The sequence below is a fragment of the Homo sapiens genome, chromosome 15, assembly GCF_000001405.40.
Source record: "Homo sapiens chromosome 15, GRCh38.p14 Primary Assembly".
Lineage (NCBI taxonomy): Eukaryota > Metazoa > Chordata > Mammalia > Primates > Hominidae > Homo > Homo sapiens.
This window is the reverse complement of record NC_000015.10, coordinates 30,044,077-30,060,202: the sequence shown is the minus strand read 5'-3', so window position 1 is coordinate 30,060,202 and position 16,126 is coordinate 30,044,077. Positions and strand designations below refer to the sequence as shown.

General features: G+C 43.2%; 1 pseudogene; it reads right to left on the bottom strand.

Moving 5' to 3' along the window:
* On the bottom strand, window positions 14,123-15,763 carry SYNGR2P1 (synaptogyrin 2 pseudogene 1; annotated as a pseudogene).

Genomic DNA, 16,126 nt, shown 5'->3' with positions numbered 1-16,126 from the left:
GTTCATTCAGCTGTCAAAACAGACAACCTTACTCACTCACAGAAGTGGACGTTGAGGAGAAATACAACAGAGGAGATAGAAAAGCATAACTGATTTTGAGCTTCATCACGGGATAAACTCAATCTGTAAGTGCAGAGAATAACTCGGAAGAGCTTCTGCACCTCCCCACACGCATCACTGTGCATTCACCAAGGCGACAGTATCCAGGACCTCGGATCCACCAATGAGAAGCCCACAGCAGCAGCCTGGAGGACAGCTGGTGACTGCCGGAGACACAGGTGACACGCCATGTCTGGACAAGGCTGAAGCATGCAGAGAGAAGCGAAGCCCACGTTGTGCTTTGGCTCACAAACATTTAATCTGCTGAAAAGGGAATCGTGTGGGAGAAGTAGAAAGAAATGCTGGTCATGTATTATACCTAGAATTTTTCACTCCCTGGTATCATGAACCCCAGTTCCCCAAAATGGCAGGCTTGGAAACTGAGGTTCTGAGCTGAAGTGACTTGCTTCAGGCCCCGTGTTCTGTGCCCTTTCCAGAGCCTGTGGCCTACAATGACCTGGTGCATCTCACCCACAGGGTGCATGTGCCCAGACACAAACCCGAGATGGGCCGGCCTGGTTCTTAAGCTTCAGGATGGAAACACAGGCCTCCCACCTACCCCTGCCCACCGGGGCGTCCGCCTTGGATAGGAAACGGCCAAACTACCACCCACACGGGCATGGTCATCATGGCAACATCGTACGTATGGAGGGTCCTGGCTCTTTGGTTGATTAAATCCTTGGGCATTTTATTTTCAAACTCCCCTTGTCCTCCACTGAACAGACCTGGACAAATGGGATGGGAGCCTCCTCTGTTTCCATACACCCTTGCATTGGCCCCTGTTTACATGCTTATCAGAATGTATTGCCCATTTTTGTTTCATTCCTCACCTTCTTCCAGCAGCCCTCACCCTCCACCCCCTCCTACCCCGACATACACACAAAAGGGGAAGGAACCTTTTCAATCCACCTTTTAATTTCAGAGCCCAGCTCAGCCTGGGATGGAGCTCTCTGGTTGTCCTGCAGTGAGCAGAGGTGAAAGTCACACTGGCCTCAGACCGTGCTCTGCAGGGACCAATTCTCTGTCCCAAAGCCGGGGCCTCCAAGCGCTGGATTTGACTTCCTCACATCACATTCCTTCTTGAACCTATTCTGTACCCCACTCTTCCGTTAAGGTTGCCAGTGAGAACCTTCTTGGTTCTCATCTTTTGGCCTTTCATTAACATTTCTCTTGGGTTCTGAGGCTCACACTTCCCCCTGTTCCTCCTTGCTCTCTTGCCCAGCTTTTCCTCTCTTTTTCTGAATCCTGGATCCTGTATCCTTATATTGCTCCGGGGCCCCAGGTCTTCTTCATTGCACACTCTCCGAGTGTTTTCCTGATGATCTCATGGGCCTCTACCCTATAAGTACCATATTTGCCTCTCCAGCCTGACCCCTCCCTGAACCCCAGACCCTCCAATTCACTGCTTATTCACAGAAGCCACTTGCAGTCTAACAGGCAGCCCCAACAACACATGCAAAACCAGGCGGTGGCTCACGCCTGTAATCCCAGCACTTTGGGAGGCCGAGGAGGGTGGATCACCTGAGGTCAGGAGTTCAAGACCAGCCTGGCCAACATGGCGAAACCCCGTCTCTCCTAAAAAAATACAAAAAATTAGCCGGGTGTGGTGGTGGGCGCCTGTAATTCCAGCTATTTGGAAGGGTGAGGCAGGAGAATCGCTTGAACCGGGAAGGCGGAGGTTGCAGTGAGCAGAGATAGCGCCATCGCACTCCAGCCTGGGCAACAAGAGTGAGACACCGTCTTCAAAACAACAACAACAACAACAACAACAACTCAGAACTAGCGCCCCACCAAACCCATTACTTGCTCAGGTCTTAGCAAATGGCCATTCTGTCCAAAGACTTGAATCATTCTCCGCCCTTCTCTTTCCCTCACTCCACATCCCAGCCACCAGTATTCCTGCCAGCTCCACCTTCAAACTGTGTTCAGGATCTTACAACTGCTCACCATGTTGTCTTCCTCCGAGTCACTGCCCAGACCCTGGATTCCCTGCACCACCGTCACCCCATCACCCGCCTCTCAGCCCCCTGTAGACACATCAGCCTTCTCCTGGTTCTGGCTCAGGACTTCACACTCCCTGATGGTCACATATCGTTCAGAGAGACTTTTCTTTTCTTTTCTTTTTTTGAGACGGAGTCTGGCTCTGTCGCCCAGGCTGGAGTGCAGTGGTGCGATCTCGGCTCACTGCAACCTCCGCATGCCAGGTTCAAGCGATTTTCCTGCCTCAGCCTCCGGAGTAGCTGGGACTATAGGCTCGCGCCACCACGCCCGGCTAATTTTTTGTATTTTTAGTAAAGACGGGGTTTCGCCGTGTTAGCCAGAATGGTCTCATCTCCTGACCTTGTGATCCGCCCGCCTCGGCCTCCCAGAGTGCTGGGATTACAGGCGTGAGCCACCGCGCCCGGCCCAGAGGCTTTTCTTACCATCCCCTCTAAAACTGTACCAACCCCCACTCCAGCGCCCTCTATCTCTTATCCTGCTTTGTTTTCTTTATAGCATTGATCACTCTTGAGCATGTTTTTTGTTTTGTTTTGTTTTGTTGTTTTTGTTCTGCATGTGCTTGTTGTCTGTTTTCTCAGAATAGAATGCAACCACCATGACGATAGTGGCTTTGTGTTATTCACTGGTATGTTCCCAGTACTCCTAGTTCCTACAGCAGTGCCTGGAACATAAAGGTCTTTAGTAAATATTTTTAAATAAATGAATAAAATATTGGACTGAGGCTTAATAAAATATATCAAAATACCAATTTCCCCACTGATATAGAAATCAGATTTAGCAAAGTATGGCAGTGGACCAAATCCAACCTGCAGCCTGTTTTTGAAATAAAATTTTAACGGAACACAGCCACATCCATTCATTTACATATAGTCTGTGGTTTCTTCCATGCTAGCCACCAAGGTTGAGTAGTTGCAACAGACCGCATGGCCCCCAAAGACTAAAATATTTACTATCTTGCTCTCTACAGAAAAAAATTTGCCAACCCCTTATGTAGATAATACTTCCTACCTCTTCTTATGGTTTAAAAAGTAATAAAATAATGAATGCATTAAACAATCATTCCATTGTTAATCCACTCATACATACTTATTGAAAAAAGAGCCTGTAATCCCAGCACTTTGGGAGGCCGAGGCGGGCGGATCACGAGGTCAGGAGATCGAGACCATCCCGGCTAACACGGTGAAACCCTGTCTCTACTAAAAATACAAAAAATTAGCCGGGCGTGATGTCGGGCGCCTGTAGTCCCAGCTACTTGGGAGGCTGAGGCAGGAGAATGGCGTGAACCCGGGAGGCGGAGCTTGCAGTGAGCCGAGATCCCGCCACTGCACTCCAGCCTGGGCGACAGAGCGAGACTCCGTCTCAAAAAAAAAAAAAAAAAAAAAAAAAAAGAAAAAAGATAAAATTGTACAGAAGTGTGTAGGGTAAAAAGTGACAGCCCTCTTTCTCCAGCCACTAGGAGGTAGCCTGCTAGCATCTGGATTATTTCCAGGCCTTTTTGAAGCATTTCCATGCAAACCTCTGTACCCCTTGAGTGCAAATTTGTTTTGTTTTGACTTTATTTTTTTAATTGACAAATAAAAATTGTATATATTTGTGGTGTACAACATGATGTTTTGATATATGTAGACACTGTGGAATGGCTAAATCAAGCTAATTAACATATGCATTACTTCATATACTTATCGTTCAAATGAGTTTTGTTATCAAGATTTTGCTAGACTTGGAAGGAGAAGGAAAACTTTCCATCTGTTCCTGTGCTCTGACAGTTTGAATAACTGGAATCACATGCTCCTTGAAGGTTCACTAGCATCCCCCATAACACTACCTATATCTGCCGCCTGTTTCAGGGCCGGACCTCTGACTACCTTTTCCATTTCTTCAACAGAACCAGCAAGGATTTGGGTCTTCTGACTCTTTCGTTAATTGTGGTAGTTTACATTTTTATAAAAATATTCATTTCTTACACATTTTCCAATTTATTTCTATAGAGTTGATTACAAGTTTTAAATCTCTTCCCTATTTATAGTTATATTTCTTTTCTAATTCTTCCTTTTTTTTTTCTGGGTCAGGTCTGCCAGTAGTTTCACAGTTGTATTAGCTATTTTTCAAAGAACTCGATTTGGGGCTTAACAAATTTTGTTGTTTGCCCTGTTTGTTTGTTTCATTAATTTCTGCTTTTTTATTTTAAAATTTCTACTTTCTATGCTTTGTCTCCTAATATTTAGAGTTCATTTATTTTCCCTTGTCTTCTTACATTTTTTGGCCACATCCTGCTGGCTTTACTACACTGAGCCCTTGTCCCAGCATAAACTGTTGGCAATCGCAACCATGATTTCCTGGTTTACGCATAAATAACAGAAAGCCTCTCTGTTTTGCTTTGTTTTTATCTCCAAATACATATAACTTTTTCTTTCTTTTTCTTTTTTTTTTTTTGATTGGGGATATTCTTTTCTTTGTTATTTCTAATTTCTGGTTTTATTGCATGGTAGTTAGAAAATTAGCCTAAATGTTTTCCGCTTTTTGAAATTCATTGAGACTTTTTGGTTTATTACTATGTCAATTTTTGTAGATAGTATACGTGTACTTACAAAGAGTGTATATTCTATACTGAGTTCAAATTTCTGTATATTACTACAGAGTCAGCCTTGTGATCTCAAAATCTAAAACTGCTTTTTGTCTATTAAATCAGTTCTTTCCTGAGAAAGTTACTAAATCCTCTCATTTTGACTGTTAACTTATCAATTCATTTTTCTTTATATATTCTGATAGCATGTTGTTCAGGCATAAAGATTCATTGCTCTTCTAGTGTCTTCGTATTCTTATGTGTAAATATAAAATCTGTCCTATTGAATATTTTTGGCTTTAAATTCCATTTTTTTAATTTCACATTTCTCATCTTTCACAGATTTTGTAAATAAGTGACTACCTTTGTCATTTAATTTTCAACATTCCTGAATAATTTTATTTTAGAATACTTTTGTGAATGTTAGTGTGGTTGTATATTTTATTTACTTATTTATTTATGTTTTTAGTGACAGGGTCTCCACTCTGTTGTAGGTATTTATTTTTAGCATGTCTGATGGCCCATTAGTAATATTAATAGTGATAGGAACGTAGCTAAGCAGTATTGAGTCCTCTCAATTCAGGTATTCTACTGAGCACTTTACCCGCGTTATTTTATACAGTGCTCAGACCTAGCCTATAGGTAGTTCTTCTGGTTGTCCCCAGTTAACAGCTGAAGAAACTGAGGATTTGAGTGATTCCATGACCTACCCAAGATCAGAAAGGATTGGGCAGGATTTGAACCCAAGTACTCTATGAGCACTACACATTGGTCATATTAATTATAATTGCTGACTTATTCGGCTTTATCCCTGTCATCTTGTTTTGCACTGTATTCTAAGAGAATTCCTCTATTCAGTCTTTCAGCTCTCTGATAAGATCTTCGGTTAGGCCCATTCTTTGTGAAACAGTCATTCGATTTTTTATTTTAGAATGTGTTTTTAATTTTCTAGAACTGATTGCTTTTCTGACATAGCAACGAGTTGACCTGTGACTAGACAGACTGACATTTAGATTCTCCGAGTTGCTTGACTTCTTAGTAGGTATCCTCCTTGTCCCCACTCCATGCATCTGTTACCTGAGAGTACTGATTCTATTCTCCAGCCCCAACATCCTCTCTTTCTCTCTCTCTCTCTTTTTTTTTTTTGAGACAGTATCGCTCTGTCACCCAGACTGCAGTGCAGTGGTGCGATCTCAGCTCACTGCAACCTCCGCCTTCTCCTGCCTAAGCCTCCCGAGTAGCTGGGATTACAGGTGTGTGCCACCATACCCAGCTAATTGTGTGTGTGTGTGTGTGTGTGTGTGTGTGTGTGTGTGTGTATTTTTAGTAGAGATGGGGTTTCACCACATTGGACAGGCTTGTCTCAAACTCCTGATCTCTGGTGATCTGTCCACCTTGGCCTTCCAAAGTGCTGGGATTACAGGCGTGAGCCACCGCGCCCAGCCCTCTCTTTCTCTTTAGCACTACCTAAACCTTTAGTACAATTTCTTGTTTTATTTTGGAGCAATGCTAGCAGGTTTATTCTGCACCCAAATTCTAGAACTGCCACCAATCTGATTCCATCTACTTTATATCTTCAAGAATGTTTTGTCTCTTCTGATCTCTTAAAAACATCCCTTCCAAATATTTTTCCCATTCTGTAGGTTGTCGTTTTACTCTGCTGATTATTTCTTTTGCTGTGCAGAAGCCTTTTAGTTTAAGTCCTGTTTTTCTTTGTTCATTTTTGTTGCATTTGCTTTTGAGGTCTTAATCATAAATTCTTTGTGTAGGCCAATGTCCAGAAGAGTTTTTCTTAGGTTTTCTTCTAGGATTTTTATAGTTTCAGGTCTTACATTTAAGTTTTTAATCCTATCTTGAGTTAATTTTTGTATATTGGTCCAGTTTCATTCTTCTGCATATGACTGGCCAATTTTCTCAACACTATTTATTGAATAGGGTGTCCTTTCCCCACTGTATATTTTTGTTTATGTTGTTAAAGATCTGTTGGTTGTAGGTATGTGGCTTTATTTCTAGGTTCCCTATTCCATTCCATTGATCTATGTGTCTATTTTTTACTAGTACCATGCTGTTTTGGTTACTATAGACTTGTAGAGTAGTTTAAAGTCAGGTAATGTGATGCCTCCAGCTTTGTTCTTTTTGCTTAAGATTGCTTTGGCTATTCAGACTCTTTCCTGGTTCCATATCAATTTTAGGATTTTTTTTTAATTTTGTGAAAAATGACATTGGTAATTGATATTATTTGGATCTGTGTCCCCACCAAATCTCATGTGAAATTGTAATCCCCAGTGTTGGAGGTGGGGCCTCGTGGGAGGTGGTTGGATCATGAGGGCAGTTTCTCATGAATGGTTTAGTACCATGCCCTTTTGGTACTGTATAGTGAGTGAGTGCTCATGAGATCTGGTTGTTTAAAAGGGTGTAGCACCTTGCCGGTCTCTCTCTTGTTCCTGCTCCCACCATGTGAGACTCCTCACTCTCCCTTTGCCTTCCACTATGATTGTAAGTGTCCTGAGGCCTCCCCAGAAACTGAGAAGATGCCAGAGTCATGCCTCCTGTACAGCCAGCAGAACTGTGAGCCAATTAAACCTTTTTTGTTTAAAAATTACCCAGTTTCATGTATCTGTAGCAATTTGAGAACAGACTAACACAGTAGTTTGGTAGGAATTGCATTGAATCCATAGATTGCTTTGGGCAGTATGATCATTTTAACAGTATTGATTCTTCCAATCCAGGAGCATGGGATATTTTTCCATTTGTTTGTGTCATCTACAATTTCTTTCATCAGTGTTTTGTAGTTCTCCTTGTAGAGATCTTTCACTTCCTTGGTTAAATATTTTCCTAGGTATTTTTTTCATAGCTATTGTAAATGGGATTGAGTTCTTGGTTTGGTTCTCAGCTTGGTTGTTATAGGTGTATAGAAATGCTACTGATTTTTGTACCATTGATTTTGTATCCTGAAACTTTACTGAAGTAATTTATGAAGTCTAGGGAGAAAATATTTGCAGACTCTGCATCCAACAAAGGACTAATATTCAGAATGTACAAGGAACTCAAACAACTGTACAAGAAAAAAATAACCCCATTAAAAAGTGGGCAAAGGACATGAATAAACATTTTTCAAAAGGATATATACAAGTGACCAACGAACATATGAAAAAATGTTCAACATTACTAATCATCAGAGAAATGCAAACTAAAACCACAAAGAGATAAAATCTTGGCCGGGCGCGGTGGCTCACACCTGTAATCCCAGGACTTTGGGAGGCTGAGGCAGGCAGATCACAAGAAGATCGAGACCATCCTGGCTAACACGGTGAAACCCCGTCTCTACTAAAAATACAAAAAGAAAAGAGAAATTAGCCGGGCGTGGTGGTGGGCGCCTGTAGTCCCAGCTACTCGGGAGGCTGAGGTGGGAGAATGGAGTGAACCCGGGAGGCAGAACTTGCAGTGAGCTGAGATCACACCACTGCACTCCAGCACGGGCAACAGAGCAAGACTCCATCTCAAAAAAACAAACAAAAATCTTACACCAGTCAGAATGGCTATGAAAAGTCAAAAAAACAACAGATGTTGGCAAGGATGTGGAGAAAAGGAAACACTTATAGACTGTTGGTAGAAATATAAATTAGTACAATTTCTATGGAAAACGGTATGGAGATTTCTCAAAGAAATAAAAGTAGTACTACCATTTGATATAGGAATCTCACTCGTGGATATCTGCCCAAAGGAAAAGAAATCATTATATGAAAAAGATACCTGCACTTGTATGTTCATTGCAGCATTATTCACAATAGCAAAGTCATGGAATAAACGTAAGTGTCCATCAATGGATGACTGAATAAAGAAAATGTGGTGTATATATGTACATCATGGACTACTGCTCAGCCATTAAAAAAAATGAAACCATGTCTTTTGTAGCAACATGGATGGAACTGGAGGCCATTATCTTCAGTGAAATAACTCAGAAACAGAAAGTCAAATAGTGTATGTTCTCACTTATAAGTGGAGCTAAACAATGTGTACACATGGACATTGAGAATAAAACAATAGACATTGGAGACTCCAAAAGGTGGGAGGGTGAGAAGGGGCTCAGGGATGAGAAATTACCTAATGAGTGTCATGTACACTATTTGTGTGACAGTTGCAATAAAAGTCCCCGACTTCACCACTATGCAATATATCCATGTAACACAACTTCACTTGTACCCCCTAAATCTATTTTTAAAACACAAAAAGCACCTTTTCTAAATTTCCAATGCTGCTACAGAATTACTCTCCATTTTATATCCCTTTGGTCCCTGAAATAGGATTTAAACAGGGAGGAAGGGTAAATTCTCATGTTTAGTCAGTCATCTTCGACTGGAAATCTTTTCATTTTTTCTTACTCACTAATTATGGCTGTCATCAACTAAGATATCAAAAGGGAGTTGCTCTGTTTTCCTTTCTTTCCTCTGGACTATATCAGCTGAATGTCATCTTAGCAAATGGAAACCAAAACCCACATTCTTCTCATATGGTGGACAGGGACAGTGTCACTCCTCACAGCAATAGTGTCCCTAAAATTGCTAAGATAGACTAGACAGCAGAGTGGCACTCTCACACGTGTGGCCTATAAACTGACCACCCCAAGGGTTACATCACCAATGATGCTGAAAGGTAGGTTTCAAGTGCCCAAACTGTTCTCTTCACATTTTTTTTCTTTTTTTCTTTTTTTTTTTTTTTTTTTGAGACGGAGACTTACTCTGTTGCCCAGGCTGGAGTGCAGTGGCGCGATCTCAGCTCACTGCAAGCTCCACCTCCGGGGTTCAAGCAATTCTCCTACATCAGCCTCCCGAGTAGCTGGGATTACAGGCGCCCACCACCATGCCTGGCTAATTTTTGCATTTTTAGTAGAGACGGGGTTTCACCATGTTGGCCAGGCTAGTCTCAAACTCCTGACCTCAGATGTTCTGCCTGCCTTGGCCTCCCAAAGTGCTGGGATTACGGGCGTGAGCCACTGCACATTTTCTTTTTAAATTTTAACTATTTCTAATTTTTAGATAAGCAGTGTATTCACTTGGTCCCAAAATCAATGGGTTCAAAGTATCAATGGTGAAAATTCTCCCTTCCACCTTCTCTCCTATCCAGTCCCCTTCCCATGAACAGTCATGATTAACAGATTTTTGTACATACTTCATTCTAGAGATATTTTTTTCATGCAAAAGCTATACATATTTTCCTCATTTAAGAAAACCACAAATAGTAGTATAATGTAGACATACTCTACAACTCACTGTTTTCACTGAGCAATATGCAGTGGAGATGAATCCATGTCTGTTCATAAAGAGCTTCTTTATTCATTTTTAGAGCTACAGAATATTTCTTTGTGTGGCTGTACTGTTATTTATTTAAGCAATCCCCTGTTGACTACTGTTTAGCTTATCTCGTCTTTGCTGTTACAGTGTCACCATGAAGAGACTTGTGCACACATCATGTCACATATCTATAAATATAAATGAATTCCTAAAAGAGAATTGCTGGTTCAAAGGGTATTTGCATGCAAAATTTTCCTAGATGTTGTCAAATTGTGCCCTGTAAGGGTTACAAACAATTTAGACTCCCACAAGTAATTTGTGATTGTCCTTGTTTCCCTGTATCCTCAGTAATACAATGTGTTATCAAATTTTGAAGTATTTGTTGGTCTAGTGGGTGAAAAATTATATCCCATTGTAGTTTGTGTGAAATTACTTATTATGAGTGAGACTGAACATCATTTCATCTTTGAAGATCCATATGCATTTTCTTTTCTCTCTGTTCATATCCTTTTGAGAAAAAGAAAATCACTTTTATCTGAGAAATGCAAGTCTTTTTAATTATCAGGTCCAGAGAGACATTAAAATGAGACAAGGCCAGGTGCAGTGGCTCACATCTGTAATACTAGCAGTTTGGGAGGCCCAGGCAGGTGGATCGCTTGAGCCCAGGAGTTTGAGACCAGCCTGGGAAACATGGCAAAACCCCATCTCTGCAAAAAATACCAAAAAAAATTTGCTGGGTGTGGTGGCACATACCCTTGAAATTAAATTGCCATTGTAACATTATTAAGAGATGGGACCTTTAAGAGGTAATTAAGCCATGGGGGCTCTGCCCTCATGGGTGGGATTGATGTTATTATAAAAGAGTGAGTTCAGCCCCTTGCCCTCTCTCTTGCCCTCTGCCTTCCACCATGGGATGATGCAGCAAGAAGGTCCTTGTCAGACACTGACCTCTCAGGAATTCCCAGCCTCCAGAACTGTGGGTTAATACATTTCTATTTATTGCAAATTACCCATCTCAGGTTATGGCAGCACAAATGGACTAAAACATACAGCAATGAAATTATTCTTTATATGTGATTTGAGTTGCAAATGCTCGCCAGTTTACTGTTTGTCTTGTGACTTTGCCTGGGGAGGGTTTTTACATGTGGATTTTTTCTTTTTGATTTTAGAATAATTGAATCTATCAAACTCTTCTGTGATGGCTCCCCAGTTTTATGTTGTACCTAGAAATGCCCTCCCCAGCATTTGATTCAAAACAAGTATGATTGTTTATTCTAATATTTTATGGTATCTTTTTTTTACATTTAATTTTTTAATCAACTAGAATTTATCCTGGAGTCAGGTGTGAGATCCGAATTTAACTTTATATTTCCTTAGAGTTTTTCTTTCCACATTAACTTTAGAATCAGATTGTTTCGCTCTCCCTCAAAAAAGAAAATCCTGTTGGGATATTTATTGGAATTGCATCAACTTTATTATTAACACACTCTCCACTATGGTTACTGTTTTGGTGGTGAATCTTCCTTTCCAAGATTACAGATTTCCACCTCTTTGACTTTTCTTTGTATCCCTCAGGAGTGTTTTGAATTTTTTTTTTTTTTTTTTTTTTTTTGAGACAGAGTCTCGCTCTGTCGCCCAGGCTGGAGTGCAGTGGCACAATCTCAGCTCGCTGCAAGCTCCGCCTCCCGGGTTCACGCCATTCTCCTGCCTCAGCCTCCTGAGCAGCTGGGACTACAGGCGCCAGCCACCATGCCCGGCTAATTTTTTGTATTTTTAGTAGAGATGGGATTTCACTGTGTTAGCCAGATGGTCTCGATCTCCTGACCTCGTGATCCGCCTGCCTCGGCCTCCCAAAGTGCTGGGATTACATGAATTTTTCTTTATATGAACGATGCACCTAAGAATAATCTATTCCACTGAGATAACGTTGCAATTTTAAAATGAAGGAAAGAAAGAAACCCTAGCATCTCAGTAGGCCAGCCTAACAACGCTTCCTTCTTGTTCATGCAAAGGCAAGTTGGCAGGTGATCCCCTCCATCCTGTGATTCAGGTATCCAGGTTCTTTTCACCTTGAGATGTTGCTCTGAAACAAGGGGCCTCCAAAGCTCCTGCAGCAGGGGAAGAGAGCCTGGAGTAGCACCCAAGCTATTAATTCCCTGGGCCTGGAGGTCACACACTTCTTTTTTCATTTTATTGGCTACACTCATCACAAGACTACCTAACTGCAAAGATACTGTTAGTCCTTTGCAAAGGTAATCCCGTCATGTACCCAGGAAAGAAAGGAGGACAAGATATATGTAACACTGGCAGTCTCTTTCACACCAGCAAAACTATTAACCACAAGGGTAAACTAAAGAAACATTTTGGTCATACAAAGTCTCAAAACATTTCATTCCAAGGCAGCTTCTCTCAGGAAACTAGTAGAGTGGAGCCTCCACCAAAATAAGAGAGCAAATCAAAGAAGAGGAATATATGGGATAAGGAGACAAAGAACCCAACCCAAGATTGAGTCAAAGTGAATCCCCAGGATGGTGGTGAAGAACATCCCAGGAGGCAGCAAGACTCCAACTAAAAGCGTGTGCTGTTTTTGCCTCTGCAAAGGAGAAAGGAACCAACAGAAAGGAAGCTAACCAAGAGCCAAGGAGCAGCACCCAGACCAAATTAGGCAGATGAGCAGCCTGTATCCAGCTCTGTCTGAAGCTGGGTCTGTTCCTAGGGAGTTTAGTTACATGAGTCAGTGACTTACCTTTGTGCTTTGGCCAGTTGAGGGCTGGTTTTTACTTAATAACAAAACAATTCCAGTCTGAGACCAGGAGACCACAGAAATGGAAGAAATAAAGCTAGTTCTCAGGGAATTTTATTCTTTTTTGTGTGTTCTTTTAAAAAACATGTTTAGGACGGGCACTGTGGCTCATGTCTGTAATCCCAGCACTTTGGGAGGCCAAGGCAGGCAGATCACGAGGTCAGGAGATAGAGACCATCCTGGCTAACACGGTGAAACCCCGTGTCTACTGAAAATACAAAAAAAAATTAGCTGGGCGTGGTGGTGGGCGCCTGTAGTCCCAGCTACTCAGGAGGCTGAGGCAGGAGAATGGCGTGAACCCAGGAGGCGGAGCTTGCAGTGAGCGGAGATTGCGCCACTGCACTCCAGCCTGGGCAACAGAGCAAGACTCCGTCTCAAAAAAAAAAAGTGTTTATATTTGACATATAATAATTGTACACATTTATGGGGTACAGTGTGATGTTTCACTACATGTATACATTGTATAATGACCAAATCTGGGTAGTTAGCATATCATTCACCACAAAATTTACATTTATTTCTGGTGATAACTTTCAGGATCCTCTTTATTAGCTCACTTGAAATATACTCTACATTGTTATTAGCTGTAGTCATCGTACTATGGACGGGAACACCAGCATTTATTCTTCCTGTCTAACTGTAACTTTGTGCCCATTGACCAACCTCTTCCCATCCCTGTTTCCCCTCCCCAGGCTCTGGTAATCACTGTTTTGCTCTCTACTTCTATGTGATCAACCTTTTTGACGCTACATGAGAGAGATCATGTGGTATCTGCCTTTCTGTGCCTGGTTTATTTCACTTAGCCTTATGTCCTCCAGGCTCATCCATGTTGCTGTGAATGACAGGATTTCATTCTTTTCCCACGAGTTTTTAATCTTGTTAAGGACATTTTAACTGTCATTAACTACAGTGTATATTGTCTCTGCTTCTAGACTGTCATCTCCTCAAGGACTATGTGTTTTAGCTAAATTCCTTGCATGCAGTGGGCCTTAGAAGCTGGGCAATTTCAGAAATGAAAATCACACTGTGAAAGTTATTCACAGTTTAGTATTAAGTGAAAGAAGTTAAGTGGGAAGCTAATTTGCTCATTTTAAAAAATGGGGCTACTTGGGAAAATATTTTAAATGGCATTTTAAGTGTTGGGATTTCAGGTGAAATTTCTTATCTTATTTTTGTTTTTTGGTTTTCTTCATTTTCTGCCATGAATATTATTTGTTTTGTAATGAAAAGGTATATATAAAAAATTGATTGTGAGTTCAAACAATGCTATCTGTCAGCATTAAGCATGAAAGTACACTAAAGAAACATTTTGGTCTTGGTTTGGCTGCTATTTTACAAAAGCATTCACTAATTTTTTTTTTTTTTTGAATGAGAAAACATTTATTCCATCTCCAAACAGCATCCCAGGGCCGGGCATCTCCCCTACGACTTTATAATACACTCGGCACAGACAGAGTTTGGGAGCCATGGGACACCTCTGCCCTCCCCAGGCTTCCTAAGTAACAACTGCAGAATATTTACATAAAGCTGGGTGTTGTCAGGCAAAGCCATTCCCTGCTGCCAGGGGTGGGAGCAAGAAGGAAGTGCCATGAGCACCAGCCCCGCCTTCACACCGTGGGAGGCAGCCCAGAGGCCACCGGCACAGGGTGGTGGCCCCCAGATCATACAGCAGTGGACACAGGGGAAGCAAACCTGAGTGAGGACACAAGAGCCTGGTCCGGCTCCGCTGCACAGGGTAGGTGTGACGGCCCCCACGAGTCTTTGGCAGAGAACGCAGGTAACAGCGGCTCCCACGGCCGGACCCGGGCCGGGGGGAAGCTGAGGCACTTGTCAGTAGCACATGGGTGCCTGCTGGCTTCTAGCCACTCCAGGCGGGGATGGGGTCATTAAAAGCAAGGAAAAACACTAGCTAAAAACCCTTTCCTAAAAGTGCCCTGGAGGAGTGAGCGGCTGACTGAAGCCCTCTGGGCACAGGCACGTGGGGTGTGGCTCGGCCAGCCCCCGCCGGGCTGTAAGGCTCCTTAGCTGTGTGTCAGCTGCACAGGATGGAACAGGTGAAAGAGGGGGTTTGGCAGTTCCAGGAGGCTCATGGGAAAGTCCAGGGCAGAGGGGAGGGCCCTCTCTGTCCCCCTTCCCACCCTAACCGCCACTCAGTACACAGGGGGCGGCTGGTAGCCCTCGGTGGTCTCCGCATTCTGGGTGAAGGGTGGCTGTTGGTAGTTGTCCACAGATGCACCTGGGTAGGAGGCGTAGGCAGTGTTGGGGTCCGGACTGGGGTCGACGTAGTTCTGGATGAAGTCGTCCACGCCAGCCTTGTAGCGCTGGTAGGTCAGGGAGGCCAGCACACCCCAGGAGAAGATGGAAAAGAAGCTGAAGGTGATGGCTGCCCTCGCAGAGTCGGCCCCCACCAGCACGTCCTCCGGGTCGGTGACCGCCCACTGGTTGGTGAGGAAGCAGAAACCAACAAACCACAGGAAGGTCCAGAGAGCTGAAAAGAGCAGGTCACCAATGACGAGGTACTTGCGGTCAGTGGCGTTGCTGATCTGGGGGAAATACGCGTCGACCACCAAGAAGGCCGAGGCCAGGAAGGCCAGCACCCCGATGGCACTGCCATAGCGGCAGGCATCCTCGTTGTGGTTGAACACGCAGTACATCTGCTTAGACTTATGGGTGTTGCTGTAGCCCTCGCCATAGATGCAGGAGAACACGATCAAGGCGAAGACTGTGGAGGGCGGGAAGGCGGGGCCCGGGACGCTAAATGCCCGCCCCGCTCGCCGCCAGGGCCCGGACGCGGCCGCCTCCACCTGTCACGCTCGTGGGTTAGGGGTCCCGCCGGGCCTGGCGGCGGGGGGGGTCCTCGGGGTGCCCCCGGCCCGCCCTCCCCGGGCTCACCAAGCACAGGGCGCGCGCCACCACCTGCGGCTGCGTCAGGAAGGGCCGCAGGTCGAAGGAGCCGCCCGCCTCGGCCACGCCGTAGGCCCCGCTCTCCATGTCGCCGTCGCCGCCCAGCATTCACTATTTAAATACTGTAACATTTTCCCATCTTTTCTTTTTAAGAAAATTAAAATTGAGTGTGAGAATTTCTCTCACATTCAATAAATCATATCACTGTGGTATAAATATATCGCTATAATATATGAAGGTTTTCTTTAAAGATTTGTTAATTCAGTAAGCAAAACAGGACAGACACATTATGAATTTTAAAAAATAACTTAGGCCTAAATATTAATATTTATTCTTCAGACCCTTTATTGTTGAGATATGACATCTACTAGATATGATATCTACTAGATCAAACCTAGATTCTTAGGTTTACACAGGCCAAACAAATCAGTGTCCCTTCTGTAAAATAATACTTGAAGCAAGAAA